This window comes from Homo sapiens, chromosome 10 (assembly GCF_000001405.40).
Source record: "Homo sapiens chromosome 10, GRCh38.p14 Primary Assembly".
Lineage (NCBI taxonomy): Eukaryota > Metazoa > Chordata > Mammalia > Primates > Hominidae > Homo > Homo sapiens.
Window position 1 is genome coordinate 44,314,827 of NC_000010.11, and position 21,376 is coordinate 44,336,202.

The following is a 21,376-nucleotide window of genomic DNA, read 5'->3' on the forward strand; positions in this document are numbered from 1 at the left end:
AATTTCTCTAGGACTCAAGTTTCTTGGTTTTAAGTGGGGAGTAATACTAGGACATGTATAGATTTGTTATGAGGCTGAAATGAGAACATGCACATAAAGTACTCAGCAAAGTGCCTGGCACAGGATACAGGCAACGCTAACAGCCAATGAACAGCAAGAACCAAGAGTCACTCATTCAACAAAATGTTTCCATGCCCAGATGCCTCCAGCCAGTGACTACCCTCAAAGAGCTCATAGTCTGGAGGCAGAACAGAAAAAAAAATAAAGCAGGAGGAGTGAATAGCATGAAATAAGGCTTGTGGGAGCCAGAAGAGGAAATTTCCAAAAGTTGGGAGGAGACCCAGAAGCTACACAGAGGAGGCGACTTTGGAGACGAGTCTCGAAGGGCCACTCTGAGGCTTGCAGGCAGGAAGGGCACCCCAGGGAGCTGCGTTTCAGCTTGTGACCCCTTAGGAAACCCGAGCCAGCCTCAGGATGCCTGGAGTGGAAGGAGGGAAGAAGAGATAGGAGAGTTGGGTTCTAGAAAGTGTAGGGGTTCCAAACACTAATGGGTTTTGCCATGAGGACTTGCCCAGCCCAGACATGTGGTCCTTTTGCACTCTGATTTAGAGAGTGCCTATAGTCCCAGCTACTTGGGAGGCTGAGGCAGGAGAATTGCTTGAATCCGGGAGGTGGAGGTTGCAGTGAGCCGAGATCGCTCCACTGCACTCTAGCCTGGAGACACAGCGAGACTCCATCTCAAAAAAAAAAAAAGAAAGAAAAGAAAAAAGAAAAAAAAGAGAGTGCAATTCCTACATTCTAGTGCAAGGATGGTTTTGCTCAATCCTGGCACCCTAAAATCAGGGAATGGTGAGAGTCCAGGTTATAACCCAGAACCACCTTTCACTCTTTTCAGGATATAATCTTTCTTCTCTGTTCTTTTTCTTACAAGCATGGGGCTCCTGTATCTACTCCACCATCAGCTTCCTATGTTTCCAAACATGTTGCCCTCCGTTGGTGCTGTAGTCCAGCACGGATGCCTTCTGGACATCCTGGTCTGCACGTACCTAGCCGAGAAGGGGCTCTCTGGCAGCTGTGGGCTGACAGAGGCACTGGTGGCCTTTGGGGAGGGCAGCAGTTTAGGAAGAAAGAACTGCAGAGACCCCTGGGGCTCCCTCAGGCAGGAGCCTCACTGGTCAGACCCTCGGATCTCTTCATGTCTAGTGGCCATGCTGAAGCAGGAAGGCAACTTCTTCCTCTTAGGAGTGAAAGAGTGGTGTGATTACCAGCAAGATCATTATTCTTATCTCCATTTCTCAGGTAAAGAGATAGCACCTAGCTCACAGGTGGCAGAGTAGGGTTCCCATTCAATTTTTGCTGCCTTGGAAGTTACAGCAATATCAAACACTGCCAGGAGTCCTTCAGCTACGAACAACCAGCACTACTAATTTTCCCAGCTTCCCACTCTTACTTTGAATCACTTTTTTCCTCTTCATTGCTATAATGACACCAAGGAATGGAAGACACTTGTGTAGGTCTTCCCCGTCCCATCCACTTCCTCCCCATCACTTTCCTCCAGTGTTGAAACATGACTGGTCTAAACTACTCTTTAGGAAAAACAAACAAAAGCAACCACTCTTGGCCAGTCCCTAGACACTGGGTCTTTCCCACCACCCCTGACTCCTCCCACAAGCCTTGGTCCCTCCCACTAGCCATGAATCCTCCCACCATCCTCGGCCCTTCCCACCACCCCTGGCCCTTCCCACCATCCTCGGCCCTTCCTACCAGCCCCGTCTCCTCCACCAGCCTCAGCCCCTCCCACCACCCGTGGCTCTGCCCACCATCCTTGTCCCCTCCCACCAGCCCCAGACCCTCCCACCAACCCTAGCTCCTCCCACTACCCCTGGCTCCTCCCAGGATCCTCTGCCCCTCCCACCAGCCCTGGGCCCTCCCACCACCCTCAGCCCCTCCCACCACCCTCAGCCCCTCCCACCACCCTCAGCCCCTCCCACCAGCCCTGGTCCCTGTGTGCCAGCACAACTCACTTTGCTGCTGGTGAGCACGGTCCCCTTCAGGACCTCTAACCTGGTCTTTGGACCCTGCTTCTCGGAACCATGGCCCTTACAAGGTGGAGGTAGAGACCTCCCCTTCCTCGACAGTCCCCCACCTTTTGATCGCCACCTCGAAAGGAAGTAGAGGTCTAGCTGCTCAAAGGTTTGGGAGGCTGGGAGGCGGTGAAATGCCTGCAGCATGCAGTCAGGAAGTAAACTTGAATCTCTACGGGCTACCGTTTCAAAGGAGTCAGCTACGCTATGCCTCTGGGAATTTCAAACTGAACACATTTCTAAGTGGGCCGAGTAGCTCTCCCCTCCTCCCCTGCTCTCAAACACCTCTATGCTCATCTTTGGCCTCCCCAAACCCACGTTTCTTTTTATTTCTCAATGTGTTTTAGTTATAGCTTCGCTTTTCTCTTTCCAAACATCACCTCAGAAGCCTCATGTTTAACATTTCAAGGTATTTTGCTAAACAACGACATCTACTCTATAGCGAGATTGCTCCACCAAGTCAGTTGCAGAGGTCAACAGAATACATTTGGGGAGCTGCTCCGCTGCACACTCACAGACACACAGCAGTGTTTTCCTTCGGGCTGTATTTGACTAGGCCCAGGGTGAGAATATCATCCAAGACCCATCATACATCCCACCGGTGCCCTCATCCCTAATTCTGACACAAGGCACACTGCTGGCCCAGTCCTGGTGCAGCCTGGTGTGGCCGCAAGGAAAAGCGAGCTGTTTCTCTATTTTCTGAAGCTTTTGGCTGTTTTGTGCCAAGACCTATGGTTACTTTACTTTTGGTTATCATCTTTGGAAGCCCTCGGGCTCCATTTTTTTTTTTAAACGAGGCAGCTGTGAGCATCGTAATTGCAGTGATGTGCCCCAGCAACTTCCAGATTTTCTCTTTAAAATAGTTTTCTAGTTATAACTCGAGTTTATCATGTCATCATCAAATCACTGAGTAGAAAATGTTACATTTGGGTGTCATCATGGATAATCACTCTGAAGAAAGAGTTTTATTCTAGTAAAGACTGTGTTTAATAAAGCCTCTGGTGAACTTCAGCCTTGCCAGGCTGAGCAGCAACGGGTGACCCTGGCTGGGAGGGACTAGCTGTTGACTTTCCTCACCTCTTTCTTTATGCCCTGAGCCAGGCACCCTGTGTTGCTCTGTGGCAAAGAAAAAGTGTTTCCATTTTCAATATGTGGCTTAACTGCATGCAGCAGTGGAAGTTGCTGTGCCTAGCCCTGCTCGCGGGGCCACAGGCTTCTTGAGGCTGTGAGGAATATTGCTTTTCTCCTTGCACTTGAGAAGGGATGTAGACCTGTGGGTCCCTCTCCTCCATCTTCTCCTGCTATTGTATTATTGTCTTATATTGTATTATACAATCTTCTGTCCCAGAGCACATTGCCCATTCTAGGCATCCATTTTCTTGCCCAAAGTCCTGTTTCAGTTCATGGAGAAATTGATCCCATTCACTTTTTTTGCACCCAGAATGTGAAAGTCAGAGATCTGGAGTACAACTGCGCCCATTTGGCTGCAGAAAGCAAAATGGATCTCTGTATTTTCTACCCGATGCATCTTCATCAACATGATCCATTCTCTGATATGCATAGCACTCTACGAGTTGCCAATTTTCACATCCATTTTTCTTATTTGATATTCACCTATTTAGTTAGAAAGTAAAAGTAGATGTAATTTCCCCCCATGTTATAGAGGGGGAAATTAAAGAGAAGGCAGGCAAAATGCTTTTGTCAAACAAAGAAAGTGGTAGGTTTTCTGATATCTAGCCTAAACTATTTCAGATATACCAGGATGTAACAAAGAGAACATACTTGTCTGTTAGTCTATTACATGCTAAGATATCACTATTTAGGTTTAAATATATTATACAGAGATCATGGGGAGAAATTGGCCTCTGCAACTTTGAAGATGCCAATATAGCTTCAAACAGCTCTTGAGGTATGTGAGAGCTGGCAAATGAAACTGACTGGTAGTGAGAATCACATAAAAAGTCAATCATGCAACTTAATAAATGTCACTTACAGAAAACCCATGGTACCATCTTACTGGTGAAATAATGGATGCTTTCCCTCTAAGATCAGGAACAATACCAGGATGTCTGTACTTGTCACTTCTATTTGACATTGTACGGGAGATTCTAGCAGGGTGGCAATTAGACAAGAAAAAGAAACAAAAGGGAGCCAAATCGGAAGGGAGAATTCGAACTACAATTGCAGATGCCATGATCTTGTATTTAAAAACTCCAAAGGAGTCCAGTAAGAAAGCATTAAAACTATTACAAATGAGTTCAGAAATGTTTCTGGATACAAAATCAATCTACTCACATTTATGATAGTAGCCCTTCCTTATCCACAGTTTTGCTTTCTGTGGTTTCAGTTATCCAAGGTCAACTGCAGGCAGAAAATAAGTGAGTACAATCCAACAAGATATTTTGAGAGACAGAGAGACTACATTCACATAACTTTTATTACTGTATATTGTTATAATTGTTCTATTTTATTATGTTAATTATGCTAATCTCTTACTATGCCTAATTTATAAATCAAAATTATAGGTATGTATGGAAAGGAAAAAACATAGGCTTCAGTACTATCTGTGGTTTCAGGGGTGCACTGGGGGTCTTGGAAAGTATCCCCCACAGATAAAGAGGTCTATTGTGTTATTTCTGTATACTAACAATGAACAACCTGAAAGTGAAACTAAACAATTCCATTTACATCATCATCAAAAAGAATAGCATACTTAGGAATAAATTTAACAAAAGAAGTAGCGGACTTTTACACCAAAAACTGCAAGATATCATTGAAATACATTTAATAAAACCTAAGTAAGGGCCGGGCATGTTGGTTCATACCAGTAATTCCAGCACTTTGGGAGGCCAAGGCAGGTAGACCACCTGAGGTCAGGAGTTTGAGACCAGCCTCATCAACACGGTGAAACCCCGTCTCTACTAAAAATACCAGCTGGGTGTGGTGACACGTGCCTGTAATCCCAGTTACTTGGGAGGCTAAGGCAGGAGAATCGCTTGAACCCGGGAGGTGAAGGTTGCAGTGAGCTGAGATCACGACATTGCACTCTAGCCTTGGTGCCAGAGCAAGACTCCTTCTCAAAAATAAAAAATAAAAAACTAAATAGGTGGAAGCACATCCCACATTCATGGATAAAATAAGTTAACATTGTTAAAACGGCAATACTTCCTACATTAATCTACAGCTCAAATGCAGCTCCTATCAAATTCCCAACCTCCTCTTTTGCAGAAATAGACACACTGGTTCTCATATTTACATAGAATTGCAAGGAGATCCTAAATAGTTAAAACAGTCTTGCAAAAGAACAAAATGTGGAGGACTCACACTTCTTAATTTAAAACTTACTACAAAGCTATGACAATTGCAACAGTGTGATACTTGGGTAAGGACAGTCAAAGAGATCAATGGGCTAGAACTGAGAATCTATAGATAAACCCTCACATTTATGACCAATTGATTTTTTATGAGAGTGTCAAGATCATTAAATGAGAACCACAAAATCTTCTCAACAAATGGTGCTGAGACAACTGGATATCCACATGCAAAAGAATGAAGTTGGACCTCTGTCTCATACACCATATAAAAAATTAGCTCAAAATGGATCAAAGACTTAAATGAAATAACTAAGACTATAAAATTCTCATAGAAAAAAATAGGGTATATCTTCATGACCTTGCATTTTAAGATATGACACCAAACACACACACACACACACAATCAGACAAGTTGAACTTCATCAAAATTAAAAACGTGTATCACAAGATATTATCAAGAAAATGAAAAGACAACTCACATGGGAGAAAACATTTGTATATAATATATTTGATAAGAGTCTAGTATCCAGACAAATAACCTGATTTAAAAAATAGATGAAGGATTTAAATAGCCGTCACTCCAAAGATAAACAAATGGCCAATAAGCACGCGAGAAGATCTTCAACTTCATTAGGTAAGTGCAAATCAAAACCACTTTATGCCTACAAGGACAACTATAATAAGAAGGAGAGATAAGAACAAGTGTTGGCAAGGATGTGGAGAAACTGAAATCCTCATGCACTGTTGGTGGGAATGTAAAATGGTGTAGCTATTTTGGAAAACAATTTGGCAGTTTCTCATTAAGTTAAAGTAGGATTACCATATGATCCAGCAATTCCACTGGATGTGTAATCAAGATAACTTAAAAATATGTCCACATAAAAACTTGTACATGAATGTTTATAGCAGAATTGTTCATAATACCCAAAAATGGAAACAACCTAAGTGTTCCATCAACTGATAAATGGATAAACAAAATGTTATATATCCATACAATTGAATATTACTTGGCAATAAAAAGGAATGAAGTACTGATGTGTGCTATAGCACAGATGAATCTTAAAAACATGTGAAAGAAGTGACAAAGCCAGACACAAAAGGGCATATATATATATATATATATATATATATATATATATATATATGGTTCATTTTACATAAGACGTCCAGAATAGAGAAATCCGTAGAGACAGAAAATAGATCACTGGTTGCAAGGGGTGGTGGTATTTGGGGTGGTAATGGAAAGTGACTGTTAATGCATATAGTTACTTTTTGTTGGGTGGGGGGAGATGAAAATATTCTGGAATGTTATTCCATCGATGTCATTAAAAATAAAGTATTTGTCAGTGTCACTAAACTCTACCCTGTGTAAAGGCTGAAATTTCTGCTCCCTTTCCTAAGGGGATTTGATTCTGGTTGCCTGAGGGAAGGGAAGAAATCAGATTTCAATGTGATGACTGGATGCCATATGTATGGCAGGTGAGTTCATCATGTGGGTGAGCAGGGCTCCCGTTTATACAATGTTAGAGTCTACTTAAACTCTACCACCATAGGAGTGTGGATGTTGTTACCATTAGGATCACACAGTTGTCCCTGGGTGGACCTTCTCTTGTGGATGGCATGCTTCCCTTCTGTCACCACAAGTGAGATATGGAGTCCTAGGCCCTGAACAGGTTACCTTGATGCTGGTAACCCTAAAATCAAATACATTTTCAATAAGAGGTTCTGTGGTCATGCTAGCTTTCAGTTTCACTCAGATGATGGAGAATAAATTGTTCAGATTCAGAGGCTAAACTTTGTCATGAGTGGATATAGATTATCCTAGAAACTCAGCCCCTGAGCCTTATCCAACAGAAGCACTGGGGGGCTTCCAAGCAGAGAAAAGCAGGGCCACTCTTGCTGAATCAAGAGCAGGGGTCACAGGGCTGCCTGCCCACCTTCTAGCATAGCCCATCATGTGCCCAGACCTCAGTTTGCCTCTGCCCTCACCATCGTGGCACCTTTGCCATGGTTTAAATCCACTTTATTAAGACTGCTTTCAGTTACTAGACTAATTTCCATCATACCCCAAGGCAGATATTCAAGGAAGAATCCTGCCTCCTTCAAACCCTGGTGCCTTTATGAGTCATGAGGTGCATCATTCATATTAGTTAATACATAATAAAGCATTTACATACACATAACAGGGAATTTTTTAGACTTCATTTTCTGAGAGCAGTTTTAGGTTCACAGCAAAATTGAGAGAAAGGTACAGAGATTTCCTCATATATCCTCTGCTTCACACAGGCACAGCCCCCCGGCCCCCATTATCAACATCCCCCACCACAGTGGTGCATCTGTTACCACTGATGAGCCTACATTACATGCCATTATCACCAGAGTCCACAGTTTACATTAGGGTTCACTCTTGCTCTAATACATTCCAGGACTGAGCCCACTAGCTTAGGGCTCTCTTCCTCTTTTTAGAAAGCCACCATAGCTCCATTCCCCTGATAACCTATTAATCCATTAATCCACTAATCCATGAAAGGATTAATCCAATTATGGGGGCACCCTCATGACCCTGTCACCTCTTGAAGGTCCCACCTTTCAATACTGCCACATCGGGGATGAAGTTTCAACATGAGTTTTGGAGGGGACAAACATTCAAACCCTAACAGTCTTGTTATCTTACCTACTTATCTTTTACTGAATCAACCAGATTGTTTTTACTGTTATAACTTTATAATGACTCTTATCTGCTTTCCTTGTCCTTAAGCTAGTCATTTAATTTTACTGTTCTTACTTACTGTTTTACTTACTCCAGGAAAGGAGGCGGGTAGTGAGAGAAGAGTTCATAGATAGTTGGAAGCAAAGCCATGCCAAGTGCCGGAGAAGTTGTACTCATGAACAGGGAAGGTGCTGCTAAGCATTCAGAGTTCTTCAGGTCTATTTCTCAAGCTGTTGTTCCAGGCAAACTGGGTCTCCTAGGTCCAGTTGGTAGAAGACCCTACAATTTTCTGCAGCAACCACTTCTTTTCATCCAGGTCATACCTTTCCCTGGTGTAGCCCCAAATTCTTGTACTTCTTCCAGTTTACTACTACTAATAGCTACCATTTAATAACATTAAATTATTGCCTAACTTAATCCTCTCAATAACCCTATAACTTACACATAACCCATTCCATGGATGAGGAACCTCTGGTTTGAAGAACTTAAATGACTTTCCCAATATCGGGTTACTTGGTGGTGTAGCTGAACATCAGTCCCAGGAAGGTCTGGCTGCTCAGGCTTGCCCACCTGCTTACTTTCTCGCCCAGCTGAGGAACGGTCTCAGAGCACTGGATCAATTGTCTTGGGTATTCAGTCTGAAGAAAGAGGACTTACCTGAGGGCTTTGATTCATGGGGCAAGAGAGTGATTCTAGGGACTTTCTAGCAGAGATTTTTGTTGGGATAGGAGGTAGAGGGTGAGAACAGTGGGTAGTAAGGCACAAGGTGGATGACAGTGGTGGTGGAAGGAAAGAGGTTGGTGAGAGGCTAAGGTAGGTGTTTCCTGTTGCTTTCCTACTGTATGGGTTGAGTAATCCCCCCAAAACTCATGTCCACTTGGAACTTCAGAATGTACTTGGAAATAGGGTCTTTCCAGTGTAATCAGTTAAGTTAAAACGAGGTCATACTGTATTAGGTATCCTAATCCTAGCAAATTCAATGACTTGTGTCCTTACAAGAAAAGGCCAGATACAGTGGCTCACACCTCCCAGCACTTTGGGAAGCCAAAGCGGGAACACTGCTTGAGCTCAGGAGTTTGAGACCAGCTTGGGCAACATAGGGAGACTCTACCTCCATAAAAAATATAAAATTAGCAGGGCGTGATGGCACAGGCCTGTGGTCCCAGCCACTCAGAAGGTTGAGGCAGGAGGATTGCTTGAGCCCTGGAGGTGGAGGCTGCAGTGAGCTGTGATCCTACCACTGTACTCCAACTTGGGCAACAGATTGAGACCCCATAAGAAAAGAAAGAAGAAAGAAAGGAAGAAAAAGAAGGAAAGAAAGAAAAGAAAGAAAGAAAGAAAGAAAGAAAGAAAGAAAGAAAGAAAGAAAGAAGCCAAGAAAGAAAGAAAGAAAAAGAAGGAAAGAAAGAAAAAGAAGGAAAGAAAGAAAGAAAGAAAGAAAGAAAGAAGGAAAGAAGGAAGGAAAGAAAAGAAAGAAAGAAAAAGAAGGAAAGAAAGAAAGAAAGAAGGAAGGAAGGAAGGAAAGAAAGAGAAAAAGAAAGAAAGAAAGAAAGAAAGAAAGAAAGAAAGAAAGAAAGAAAGAAAGAAAGAAAGAAAGAAAGGGGAAGTGAAAGGGAAAGGAAAGGAAAGGCAAAGGAAAAGAGAGAACTGAGAGACAGATACAGGGGGAAGAGGCTATGTGAGATGGAGATGGGAATTCTGTTCCCACAAGGCTGAGGAGGCTGAGGTTTGCCACAGCCACCAGCAGCTGGGTGAGGCAAGGAAGGATCCTCCCCTAGAGGCACTGGAGGGAGTGCAGCTCACCTGACACCTTCATTTCTGCCTTCTGACCTCCAGAAGTGTGAGAGCATAAACTTCTGTCATTTCAAGCCACCAAGTTTGTGGTGATTTGTTAGAATAGCCATGAGAACCTAAGAAACCTGCTGAAGAGCCAAGAGTGATGTCCCCGTTGAAATCATTGAAGTGACACCTGCAGATATCACTCATTTCCTATTCTTTTGATTACCTGGCTTGTAGAGTACTCTCTGCTTCTCAATATGTGAGACATAAATGAAACAAAACCTGCAGCTGCAGTAGCTTTCCAGTATGTTTGGTTTAGGCTGTGATAACCTTCTCTAAATGAGAAGTGCTTGGCATGTAGTAGACCAGCATATGTAAATTCATTAAATAAATGAATGAACTCAGAGGAGGTGACTATACCTGTCTGCGGAAATAAGACTATATTTTTCCTTGACACCGTTGTCTTTGGAGGACAGTCTGGTTTGCCATAGTCACAGAGAACACACAGGCATGAGAGCCAGACAAACATACAGTGAGTCACTGTGGGACTTTGAGCTGGTACCTGAGCTCCACTGAGCCTTTGTTTTCTCACCTGTGAGTGAAAGGACCACGCCTTCCTGGAAGGGTTACTGAGAGAATTAGTTGTCAGAGCACTTGGCATATCATATGCCAAGCTATGTGATCTGAGCTGTTATAATGCTGACCTACCTCACTCCTCTTCTCCAGCAGGAGGCAAGTAATGGTAGCACTCACAGTGGCTCTCTGGAAATATGAAATTGCATGCACGTGTTTTGTGGTGTGTGTGTGTGTTGGTACAGTGTGTGTATTTTTAGGTGTGAAGTGTGTTCATCAAACAGCTGTACTTAGATAAACGGGAAAAACCATGACACCCTAGGCAGTTTAGCTCTAGAAACATCCAAGTTTTCCAAGCAGTCTTCCTTTGAGAGTAAAGCATCAAAGAATTAAGTCACTTAGTCACACATTTTCAATCTCTGTAACATTTTCCTCATTCATCCCAGGACTGTCAACACAGCTGTTACTAGGCCTAGGTGTAGACAGCTTTCTAAACGGAGTGGTAGGTCCATTGGTTCTGGTTTAATAGACAAGGTATTAGATGTTTTCCAACTTTGGCTACTGTACTCAATAAATCATCTTCTCTGGAGGAAATAAAAAGGAAAAAAAAAAGGAGAAGGAGAAGAGAAAAGACATCAATCTTGACTGACGACGATCCCCGGAGCTTCTCTTGCAGGGAAGGGTTTAGGAAGAGTATGTGAATGCGGTGCTGTGAATGGACACAATTAACCTGTCCTGGGATCTGTGTGTCTACTTTTCTGACACTGAGCAGTGCCCCTGGAGAACACACTCCCAAGATGCTTGTAAGAGAGCAGTGGAAAGTCTGACTGCTGAAAGCAGCAGCTCCACGTACCTTGAAAGCAGATGTTGGCAAACAATTATTCCACAGGCCTGGTCTCCAGCCAGTTTCTTAAGCTTCACTAGATCCTATAACCAGAGCAAAGTGGCTTCAAGCTCCACTCAGCTGATGTTAAATCCAGACACATATACCAACCATTAGAAGATATTGAGTTGGTATTTTTACGGCTTCGTAAATCCATTCTTTGCCTAATGCCTTAGCCACCTTGGGTGGCTGGGAGGGGGGAAAGCAAGGAATCCCATAAACAAGGCAGCATCCCTGTTAAAACTAGATCATCTGATTCCAATCCCCATGCTCTTCCCAACATGGTGCACTGCTGTGGAGGTGGCAGATGTTGAAGGCCTCCCTCAATCTGGCCCCAGATTCTCTCCTTGATCTAATTTCCCATAAACCTACGCTTGCCTTCCAGGTCTCCAGCCACACTGAGTTCCTTGTCTTTCATGGATGTACCATTAGTTAGTGCTAAGTCAATGTCTTTGCTCTTGCTGTCCCTCCCTTCTATCTAGAACATTATCTGCTTAGAATAGTTTTTGTCCCCTTGGCTGCCTGCCAAATTTCTAAATAAAGGGCAGCCACTTCTGAAAAGTTTCCTTCAGCCCACTTTTTCCTGTCTCCTGGCTCCTTGTAGCTCCCTTTCCCATAGGACTTGTCCCTGCATCTGTAATTGTTTGTTTACTTGGCTGCCTCTCTCACCAACCTGACACCTTCCCCTCTGCAGCACCTGACTCTGAGCACTGCTGGGCTCTAGTGGCTTTTGACAGAGATTACTTAATGAATGTAGGAATTAATGAATGATCAAATCCAGTGAGAGTCCTAAAAACCTCAAGATGAGGTGAGCTATTATTATTACATGTCACCCTCATCATTATGTATTATGCTAACTGAGCCCTGACTGAACCAGGTCTCCCTGAACCAGACTGTACACTTCTTTCTGAGAAGGCAGAAGTCCAGTTAGATTATAAACTAAGCATCAGAAATATGTAGCATTGCAGATATTAGCTAGCATGTCCAATTAACTCATAGATCTAAGGAGGGAGTTTACTAATTCAGCTATTGGCTTAGCATGTGACCTTGGGCAAGCATCCATTCCTTAATCTTTCCACTTATAACAGACAGATAAAGACTTTGATCTTTACCTCAAGGACCAATGAGGTTGAGTGTCTGAAAGCTCTAAACGTCTTGGGGGAAATGCTTGCTACAGGACTTTTGGCCACATACTTGCATCTCACTTGGGACATAGAGGATGGTGAAGGTTGTCTCCATTCTTCTCTGCCAAGTAAGGCAGATAATCTGGATTCAATAGGTCACTGTGAGGAGGGCTGCAGTTAGATGGATAATTCTGGGTAAGGAAGAGATACCGTTGACATTTCCGTTGATGTATGTTTTCCCCAGCATGAGGTACAAAGGAAGCCCACTCCAGGTTTATAGGGCTAAATTTTGAGCACCCATCCTGCAAACCATGGGAAGTTCTATCTTCCCTCTCAGGATTCCTTCCAGTGATAAATTTGAGATGTGCTTTCTCACAGCCAGATGGTTGGTCCTGGTGACATTGCTATCTACTGCTCCACTGCTGTTGGGTGCTGAGTTTTGTCAAAGCTTCCTCATGTGAAGGGTGGAGAGGGTCCTGTACTTGGTTATGGGTTCTCTACCCCAAAGAAGCCTGGGTCCTGGGTGCTGTGTTTTTTGTAAGAGTCACATGCAGTTCCTGTAATGAGCCTTTCCCACAGTAAAACATAATAACATTTAGATCGGAGCTTCTCTCAATTCCAAAGAAGGAAGTTACTACAAATAAGCCAAGATGAGATCCTAAAAAATTGTTCAAGTAACTCACAGAAAAGTAAGAAGAGAAATACAGGAATAAGAAAGAAGAAACCAACAAAAAACAACAAAATGGCAGATGTAAGTCCTGATGTGCCAATAATGTAAATGATCTAAGTATACCAATGATCTAAGTACACCTTAAATGTAAATGATCTAAGTACACCAATTAAAAGAAATTGACAAAGTGAATTTTAAAACATGGTAAAAAGTATTCTGTTTGCAAGACACATAAAATGAAATGACACACAGATTTCATAGCCAGTGAGTGATCTAGGTAGGTTGAAAGTGAAAGGATGGAAGAAGATATACCATTATACATAATTTTTATAAAGTAGAAGTAGATACATTAATATCAGGTAAAGTAGACCTGAAAAGAAAGAAAAAAGTAACTAGAGATAAAAATGAGATCCCATAATGATAAAAAGATTGATCCTCTAGGAAGCCATGATAATCCTAAATATGTATCCACCAAAAAACAAAGCCTTAAAAAACATGAATAAAAAACTGATGGAACTGAAAGAAGAAATAGATAAATCCACAATTATAGTTACACACTTCAACACCCCCCACTCTCAGTAATTAGAAGAACTGAAGAACACCAACAAACAGGAACTGCCTGGCATTTATAGAGCACTCTAGTCAATGCCAACAGAATACACATTCTTTTCAAGCATCCATGAAGCATTCACCAAGATAGAGCATATTCTGAGTCATAAAACAAGCCTCAATATATTCAAAATAATAAGAATCATACTGAATATGTTCTTTGACCATAATGTAACTAAACTAGATATCAATAACAGAACAACAGAAAAATCTCCAACCATTTGCAAATTAAACAACAAAATTGTAAATAACCCATAAGATGATGAAGAAGTCTTAAAAGAAATAAAAAACAAATGAAAATACAACACATCAAAATACATGAAATGCAGTTAATGTAGTGCTGAGGGGGGATTTATAGCCCTAATTTATTAGTTTAGAAAATCAGAGTAATCTCAAATTAATACTTTAAGATCCTACGTCAAGAAACTGGGAGAAAAAAAGAACAAAGTAAACCCAAAGCAAGCAGAAAGAAGAAAATAATAAACAGCAGAAATTCACAAAATTGTAAATAGAAAAGGAATAGAAAAAAATCAATGAAGCAAAAAGCTGGTTCTTCAAAAAAAAAATATTAATACAATTAGACCTCTAGCAAGGCTGATATGGTTTGGCTGTGTCCCCACCCAAATCGTATCTTAAACTGTAGCTCCCATAGTCCCCACGTGTCATGGCAGAGACCTGGTGGGAGGCAATTGAATCATGGGGGTGGGTTTTTCCTGTGCTTAGTGAATAAGTCTCACGAGCTCTGATGGTTGTATAAAGTGTAGCTCCCCTGCACATGCTCTCTTGCCTGCTGCCATGTAAGATGTACCTTTGTTTCTCCTTTACCTTCTGCCATGATTGTGAGGCCTCCCAGCCCTGTGGAACTGTGAGTCCATTAAACCTCTTTTCTTCTTTTTGTTTTTTAATAAATTACCCAGTCTCAGGTATTTCTTCATAGCAGTATGAAAATGGACTAATACAAAGGCTGACAAAATAAAAAATTTAAAAAACAGAGAGAGAAAAAACACACAAATAATATCAGGAATGAAATAGGGGATATAAATACAGATTCTGCAGTCATTAAAAAAGATAATAAGAAAATGCTATGAACAACTTAATACTTATGAGTTCTTTAACTTGGAAAACTAAACCTATTCCTCAAAGATCATCAACTAGAAAAATTCAGTAAGGATGAAATAGACAACCTCAATTGTCCTATAACCATAAAAGGAGTGGAATTTGTAATTTAAAAGCTCCCAGAGGCTGGGCGCTGTGGCTCACACTTGTAATCTGGGCACTTTGGGAGGCCAAGGCGGGCAGATCACAAGATCAGGAGTTCGAGACCAGCCTGGCCAGCATGGTGAAACTCCGTCTTTACTAAAAATACAAAAATTAGCCAGATGTGGTGGTGGGCACCTGTAATCCCAGCTGCTTGGGAGGCTGAGGCAGGATAATTGCTTGAACCCAGCAGGCAGAGGTTTGCAGTGAGCCAAGATCACATCACTGCACTCCATCCTGGAGGACAAAGCGAGACTCTGTCTTGAAAAAAAAAAAAGCTCCCAGAAATGTCCAGAACCAGCCAGATTCCCAGGAGAATTCTACCCTACATTTAAAGACAAATTAACATCATTTTTTCACAATTAGTTCAGAGGAGGGAGCACATCCTAATTCATTTTGTAAAGCTGGTATTGTATTGATACAAAACCAAAGACAGTACCAAAATAATAATAATAATAAAAATCTACAGACCAATACATCTCATGAACTTTGATGCAAAAATCATAAACAAAATATTCACAAAGTGAATTCTGTAATGTATAAAAAGAATTATAAGCCATGACTAAGTGGGATTTATTTTAATTGTGCAAGGCTAGTTCAACATTTGAAAGTCAATCAGTGTAATCCACCATATATATCAGCAGGCTAAATAAGAAAAGCCACATGATCCTATCAATTGATGCAAAAATGCAAAAGCATTTGACAAAAAAGGAAAGTAAAATTCTCCACAGAAAACAAGTTGTGCTGGCCTTATCCAGGTGTGCAAAGGAGGAAATGAACAATCTTTGTGCTCTGGCCTTGGAAAATAAGGAAGTGTAAACTAGGACACAGATACAGAGAAAGATGAAGATAAAGCACTTGGATTACAGGCTCAGAGAGGCTAAGTCATTTGCTTAATGTCACATTACCAGTAATTGAGAATCATATCTTTTGATGGAAAACCCATAGATATGTACACCAGAGTACCCTGGAATTATGCTCTTGATCAATGTCTTTCCAATTATATTTGTATATTCATATATATTTTCTTGGTCCATTTTCTACTGCTATAACAGAATACTACAAAGTAGTTAATTCATAAATAATAAAAGTTTATCTGGTTCATAGTTCTGAAGGCTAGGAAGTCCAAGATCAAGGGGCCACATCTGATGAGGGCCTTCATGTTGTGTCATCCCATGGTGGAAGGGGTCACATGACTAGAGAGCACACACAAGGGAAAAAATCTGGGCCAAACTCATCCTTTTATCAAAAGCCCACTCCTGCCACAACTAGCCCACTCTTATGATAATAGCATTAATTCATTCATGAGGGCAGAGCCATCAGGTCCTAATCACCTTTTAAAGACCCCACCTCTTAATACTGTTGCAATGGCAATTAAGTTTTCAACACATGAAATTTTAGGGACATATTCAAACCATGGCATATAGATATAGATAGATACAGATATTGATATAAGTTGAGTATCCCTTATTTGAAATACTTGGAACCAGAAGTGTTTCAGATTTCAGATTTTTTCAGATTTTGGAATAGTTGTACTATAGTGGTCAAACATCTCAAATCAGAAAGTCTGAAATTTGAAATGCTCTAATGAGCATTTCCTTTGAGTGTCATGTAAGCACTCAAAAAGTTTCAGATTTTGAAACATTTCGGATTTAAAAATTTTAGTTTTGGAATGCTCCACCTGCATACACACACATATGTGTGTATATATTGCAGAAATGAAGAACAGCATTTCTCAAGAGAAGAGAGTGAATACAGCAATTTGAAATTTTTGCAATAATTTGAACTAGTGAATTTCATTCTTAACATAATATTTTAGAGAAATAACTGGCATGACAGCACTCTTTCAGGGGCTCTTAGTTTTACAGTGATGAAATTGAACTTCAGAACAGTAAGCCTTACCTGAAGTCACACAGCTTATGAAAGGCAGCAGGTAAAGTAGACCTAGTTTGCTGTCTTTCAAGAAAATGTTAGCTGTGATTGCACACCTGTATTAATCATATGAGAACCACATGTATTTTTTAAATGCTCATGCCATGTAAAAATCCAGCCTCACTGTATCGTTAATTGGAATTAAAATGTGGCTATAAACTGTGTTGAATTCTTTTAAAATTATGTGGGAAATGCTTTATAAACACACAGCCTTGGATCTCACATATTTGTTTTCTCAAATGAACATTCCAGCAAATACGGTAAATATCCATACATATTTAAATAATAAAATCTGGTTAGTTTTAGAGGATGTAGAAGGGACTGGTTTGGAGGGATTGCCCATGTTATTCACAAAACTGTTCATAAAAATGGGAACAATGTCTTATTTTCTCTTCAATACATTTCCTCAAAGCAAACAGCTGCTTGGAATTCTTTCATTACTGTTCTTTTCTCAGGGATCATGGCAGGCATCCCCAATGATCCAAGGTTTGAACATTTGGAGGGGAAAACATTTCTTGAGTCTTATATCATTAACATTAGTGATAACTTTGTGCACAACACAGTTCTTTGTAGATATATGTTTTTTAATTCTCACAACTCTTTTTCAATGTAAGTATTATGATTATTCCAGTTTTACAGGAATTGGTTTACCCAATGTGTCAGCAGGCACATGGGGAAGCTGGTCCCAAGATCCCGAGAGGTTTGGATTCAGAAGCCTGTGCTCCTTCTCAATCTTATTGTTGCACCCACAGTAGCCCTAGGCACTGGGGGATGGGGTGAAGTGACCTTCCGGGATGCTACCGAGGGAAAAGCCAAAGGGACTATTCAGGCAGAGAGGGGACCAGGGCAGTCTTTGGCGGTCACGTTCTCAGGCTGATGTGCCTGCTTAGAGTTTTGCAGAAATCTCGGGAGCACCTAGGAGCCAGGATGGTAACAGCCAACCACTATCTGGGAGTGCAACTGAAAGTGTGCTCACAAGCTATGCAGATCCATCATACACAGCCAGCCAGGGACCCCCCAAAACGTCCACCCAGAAAGCAGTGGCTACTGAGGGATGCATGATGACTCCACTGAGCTTCTCCCCGTCCCAGGTGCACCTGGCTTTGAGCATTGATCAGTCCTCTACTAATGTCTGTTCTTTTACTTCATATTTTCCAAAAGTTAGGGAGAAACTATAACTAGGTCCAGGAGGAACAGGTAAGTAATTAAGGCAAAAAGTAACTAGATCATTGAAGAAAAGGTAAATGGGGAGGGGGTAATTGGTGGGAAAATGACACAGCCCAATGCTAATATCAACCATGGAGGAAAATTACTCTTGAAATAAATTTGAAGAGGAAGGATGCAAAAATATATGGTTCTGGACAAAAAGTGGTGGCACAGATCCTGTATTAGTCCCACTTTCCAACTGTCCCTGGGGAATTAATTCGCTGCTTCTGACATTCCATAATCCCGGACCTAAAGAAGTGTTGGAGAAGTGGGTGTGATAATGGGTGGAAAGTGCTCTGCAAGCACTTTATGTATGTAAAGAATCATAGTAACTCTATTTCTGCTGAGGGTCCCTGAAAGATGATGGCTACCCCCTATCTTCTCTGTCCAGAGGTGATACCACTCAGAAAAATAAACTTTTGTTCAGAAAGCAGGAAACCAGACAGCCCTGGAGGCACATGCTGGTGTCCCTGAAGAGTGAGAATCTGAGTGGCACTACGACACCACAGAGCCAAGCGACGCTGTCTCAGTCAATTCAAGGCTGTTATCACAGATATCTTAAACCGGGTAATTTATAGGCAACGGACATTTATTTCTCACAGTTCTGGAGGTTGAGAAGCCCAAGATGAAGATGCCAGCATGTTTGGTGCCTGGCGAGGACGTGTTCCTCACAGACAATGCTGTCTAGGAGGCCTCGCGTGGCAAAGGGCAAAAGGGGCCCATGAGGAGTGAGCACGCCATGCGGGTGGAGCCCTGGAGAAAGGGGTTGGTGTTCTTATGAAAGAAGCCCAGGGAGCTTAAACACAGTGTCCATCCAGTTCCACACTATCTGCAGTTTCAAGCATCCACTGGGGTCTTTGAACGCGTGCCCCTGGGATAAGAGGAGACTATTGCAGTACATGTATCAACAATTTGTTGAGTACCAGTTAATTGCCTGATGCAGATCTGTTCTAAATGAAGAAACAGAGAAAGAGAAAGGGGAGAAAAGAAAACAAACCAGTGAAGCCTGACATTTTTCAGAAAGGGAAAGTAACGCCTCCTTCCACTCTGGCTATGCAGGTGGTCACAGGGCTGAGCTGGAGAGAAAGATGAAGGACAAGTTGCACTGCAGAGGCCAAGCTCAGAAGCTCAAGGCTAAGTTGACCCCATACCCAGGAGTGTCCAGCCCAGTCCTTTGCAGCACCAGAGTGGAAGGAAGGCCTCCTGATTCCATGCCCAGCCCTGCCCCTGCATCTGGGTGACAGAGCAAAGGGCTTTTACCTAACCCACGGAGTCTCCTCTGTTTCTTCCATGCCCTAAAAATTCAGACACTGAACTCTTCTTTTGGGGTCTCGCAGCCCTGAAGATTGCATCCTGCCTTTTAGCATGGATGTCTTTCTCCCAGGTGCAGCTGCCCAATCCAGAGGTCGCCACCACCGTAATTTACAGCTCAGACCCTGGACATCGGTGCGGTTGAGAAGGCCAAAGATCAGAAGGGGTGACCCATCCATTGGGGCTTGGATTTGCTCTCTTCTGACTTGCTCAGCTATAAACGCTGCTGTTCTGAATAATAAACTGGGGATAATTACTTTCAAACCCCAGCGTAAGATGATCCCTGAAGGCCCCAATCACTTGCAGGTGCTGCCTCCTTTCTGTGCTGCGTGTTGTCATTTTCCTCGCTCTGTCTTTGTGGAGACTTTTGCAAGAATCCTGTTCTGTCCCTTTTGCAATAACCCATAATGCGGGGGCAGCATCTGTCCCATCTGTGTTCTCTCTGAAACCCCAAATAAAGACAGCTCAGTGCTCAGATTCCATGGGATCCACCTCATGCTGAGGCTCCTCAGGTTTCCAGGCACACAGCCAAGAAACCACCACCTTCTGTCCCTTTGTCTTGCCCTTGGATTACCTAGAAAACAAGAAACATCACAACTACCCACTTCCCTGGACAGGCAACAAGAAGGATCAACTGGGCTCTCCTGGGTAAAGGAGCTCTGTGATTTGTGAGGTCTTGTGCTTGTACAGGGGTTAGCTGTTGTTATTATTAGCTGAGCGATGTCCATGACTCACAGGATACAATTAGGTTAATTCCTTGCTAAACCCCATGGTCCCCACAGCTGCAGTGAAACAGTTAGAGAAACAGGCTACAGAGAGGCCAGAGTGGCCATGGAGCTGCATGGTCAGCATTGCATCTGCGTGAGTTCCCAGCAGATATGCAGTTCACCTGCACCAGGCTAGCTTAGGAAGCTCCATAATGTAGGCGTGTGCATTTGCAAACTCTTCGCTTGGGGTTTTCCATTTAAGTTCTGGTCTAGAATGGAGCAGAAACATCAAGCGTATTACTGGTGTTAGTGAGAGGGCTGGTCCGAGGACATAATCTAATCTCCCATGCCTCAGTTTCCCTGTCTATAATGCAACAAGAGAGCAGGCCTCATTGGGTTGTGAGATATTTATTGGAATACATGGAGAGCCCTCTTGCCTGGCACAGGATAAATGTTAGCTATTATTAAAATGATGCATGCACAGAACTTAAATTTAGACCTGTCCGGGGCAGTCTCCAGTTACAGACAGAGAGCCTTCAGTTCTCATGTTCCTAAAATGAGTGCAACCGCCTTCACATCACAGATGGGCACAGAGCTGGTGATCACAATCAGTTAGGAAATTCTGGAGACGTGTCTCATGGGGACTGTGCCCCAGCCACTATATCAGCACAGAGAAGTTGGAGACTCCCATCCCTAGCAAGCCCCAGGCTAGTGAGGGGTTTCAATGATGCAAAATGTAGGACAGGAGTAAGACAGGTTGGGGCAGACATCAGCAGGCTCCACGTCCTGGGGCAAGTCCGGCAGCCTGGGGCAGATTTGCAACCTGAAGCTCCACCCACAGACCTATGATGCTGTGTGACCCACCCAGGCTGTGAGTCTTATCTGGGCTTCACTTCCTCCTCCGCCTTGATTTCCACCTTTGTTCTTGAGAGGACGAGAGCATTCCAAGAAGGGCTTTGTGAGCTGCCGTGGCTAAAACCCAGCGGGTGTGGTCATCCTAGTGATGGGTTGGAGGTGGTTCCTGCTCTCCCATCTTTGGAAAGGATGAGAGGTGTTCATAGCAAAACCTACATCATATAACCAAACCCAAGGCAGAGGACAATGGATGGGGAGAGCTCTGTGCACAGAGGAAGAGACACCAGTCCAGTCAAACCTCGGTGGAAGAATCTGGAATGGTTTTCTGCATTACATCTGGGCCTTTATCATGGGTCTGATAT

At 42.6% G+C, this 21,376-nt stretch overlaps 1 long non-coding RNA gene across 1 annotated transcript in view, besides 2 other annotated features; it reads right to left on the reverse strand.

Annotated features, from left to right (window-relative positions):
• LOC124902544 (uncharacterized) overlaps nt 1-21,376 on the reverse strand; it is a 57,376-nt gene that overhangs the window by 20,913 nt on the left and 15,087 nt on the right. The window lies entirely within an intron of this gene.
• Nucleotides 1,735-1,984: a silencer, noted in NCBI's record as "silent region_2339". NCBI's record gives its function as "represses an Ori minimal core promoter by ATAC-STARR-seq in GM12878 lymphoblastoid cells {active_cell/tissue: GM12878}" and the evidence as "EXISTENCE:reporter gene assay evidence [ECO:0000049][PMID:35858748]".
• Nucleotides 11,131-11,346: a silencer, noted in NCBI's record as "fragment chr10:44821405-44821620 (GRCh37/hg19 assembly coordinates)". NCBI's record gives its function as "represses an EF-1alpha promoter that drives an FKBP-Casp9 reporter gene in an ReSE screen in phorbol 12-myristate 13-acetate-treated (for megakaryocytic differentiation) K562 erythroleukemia cells {active_cell/tissue: K562(+PMA)}" and the evidence as "EXISTENCE:reporter gene assay evidence [ECO:0000049][PMID:32094911]".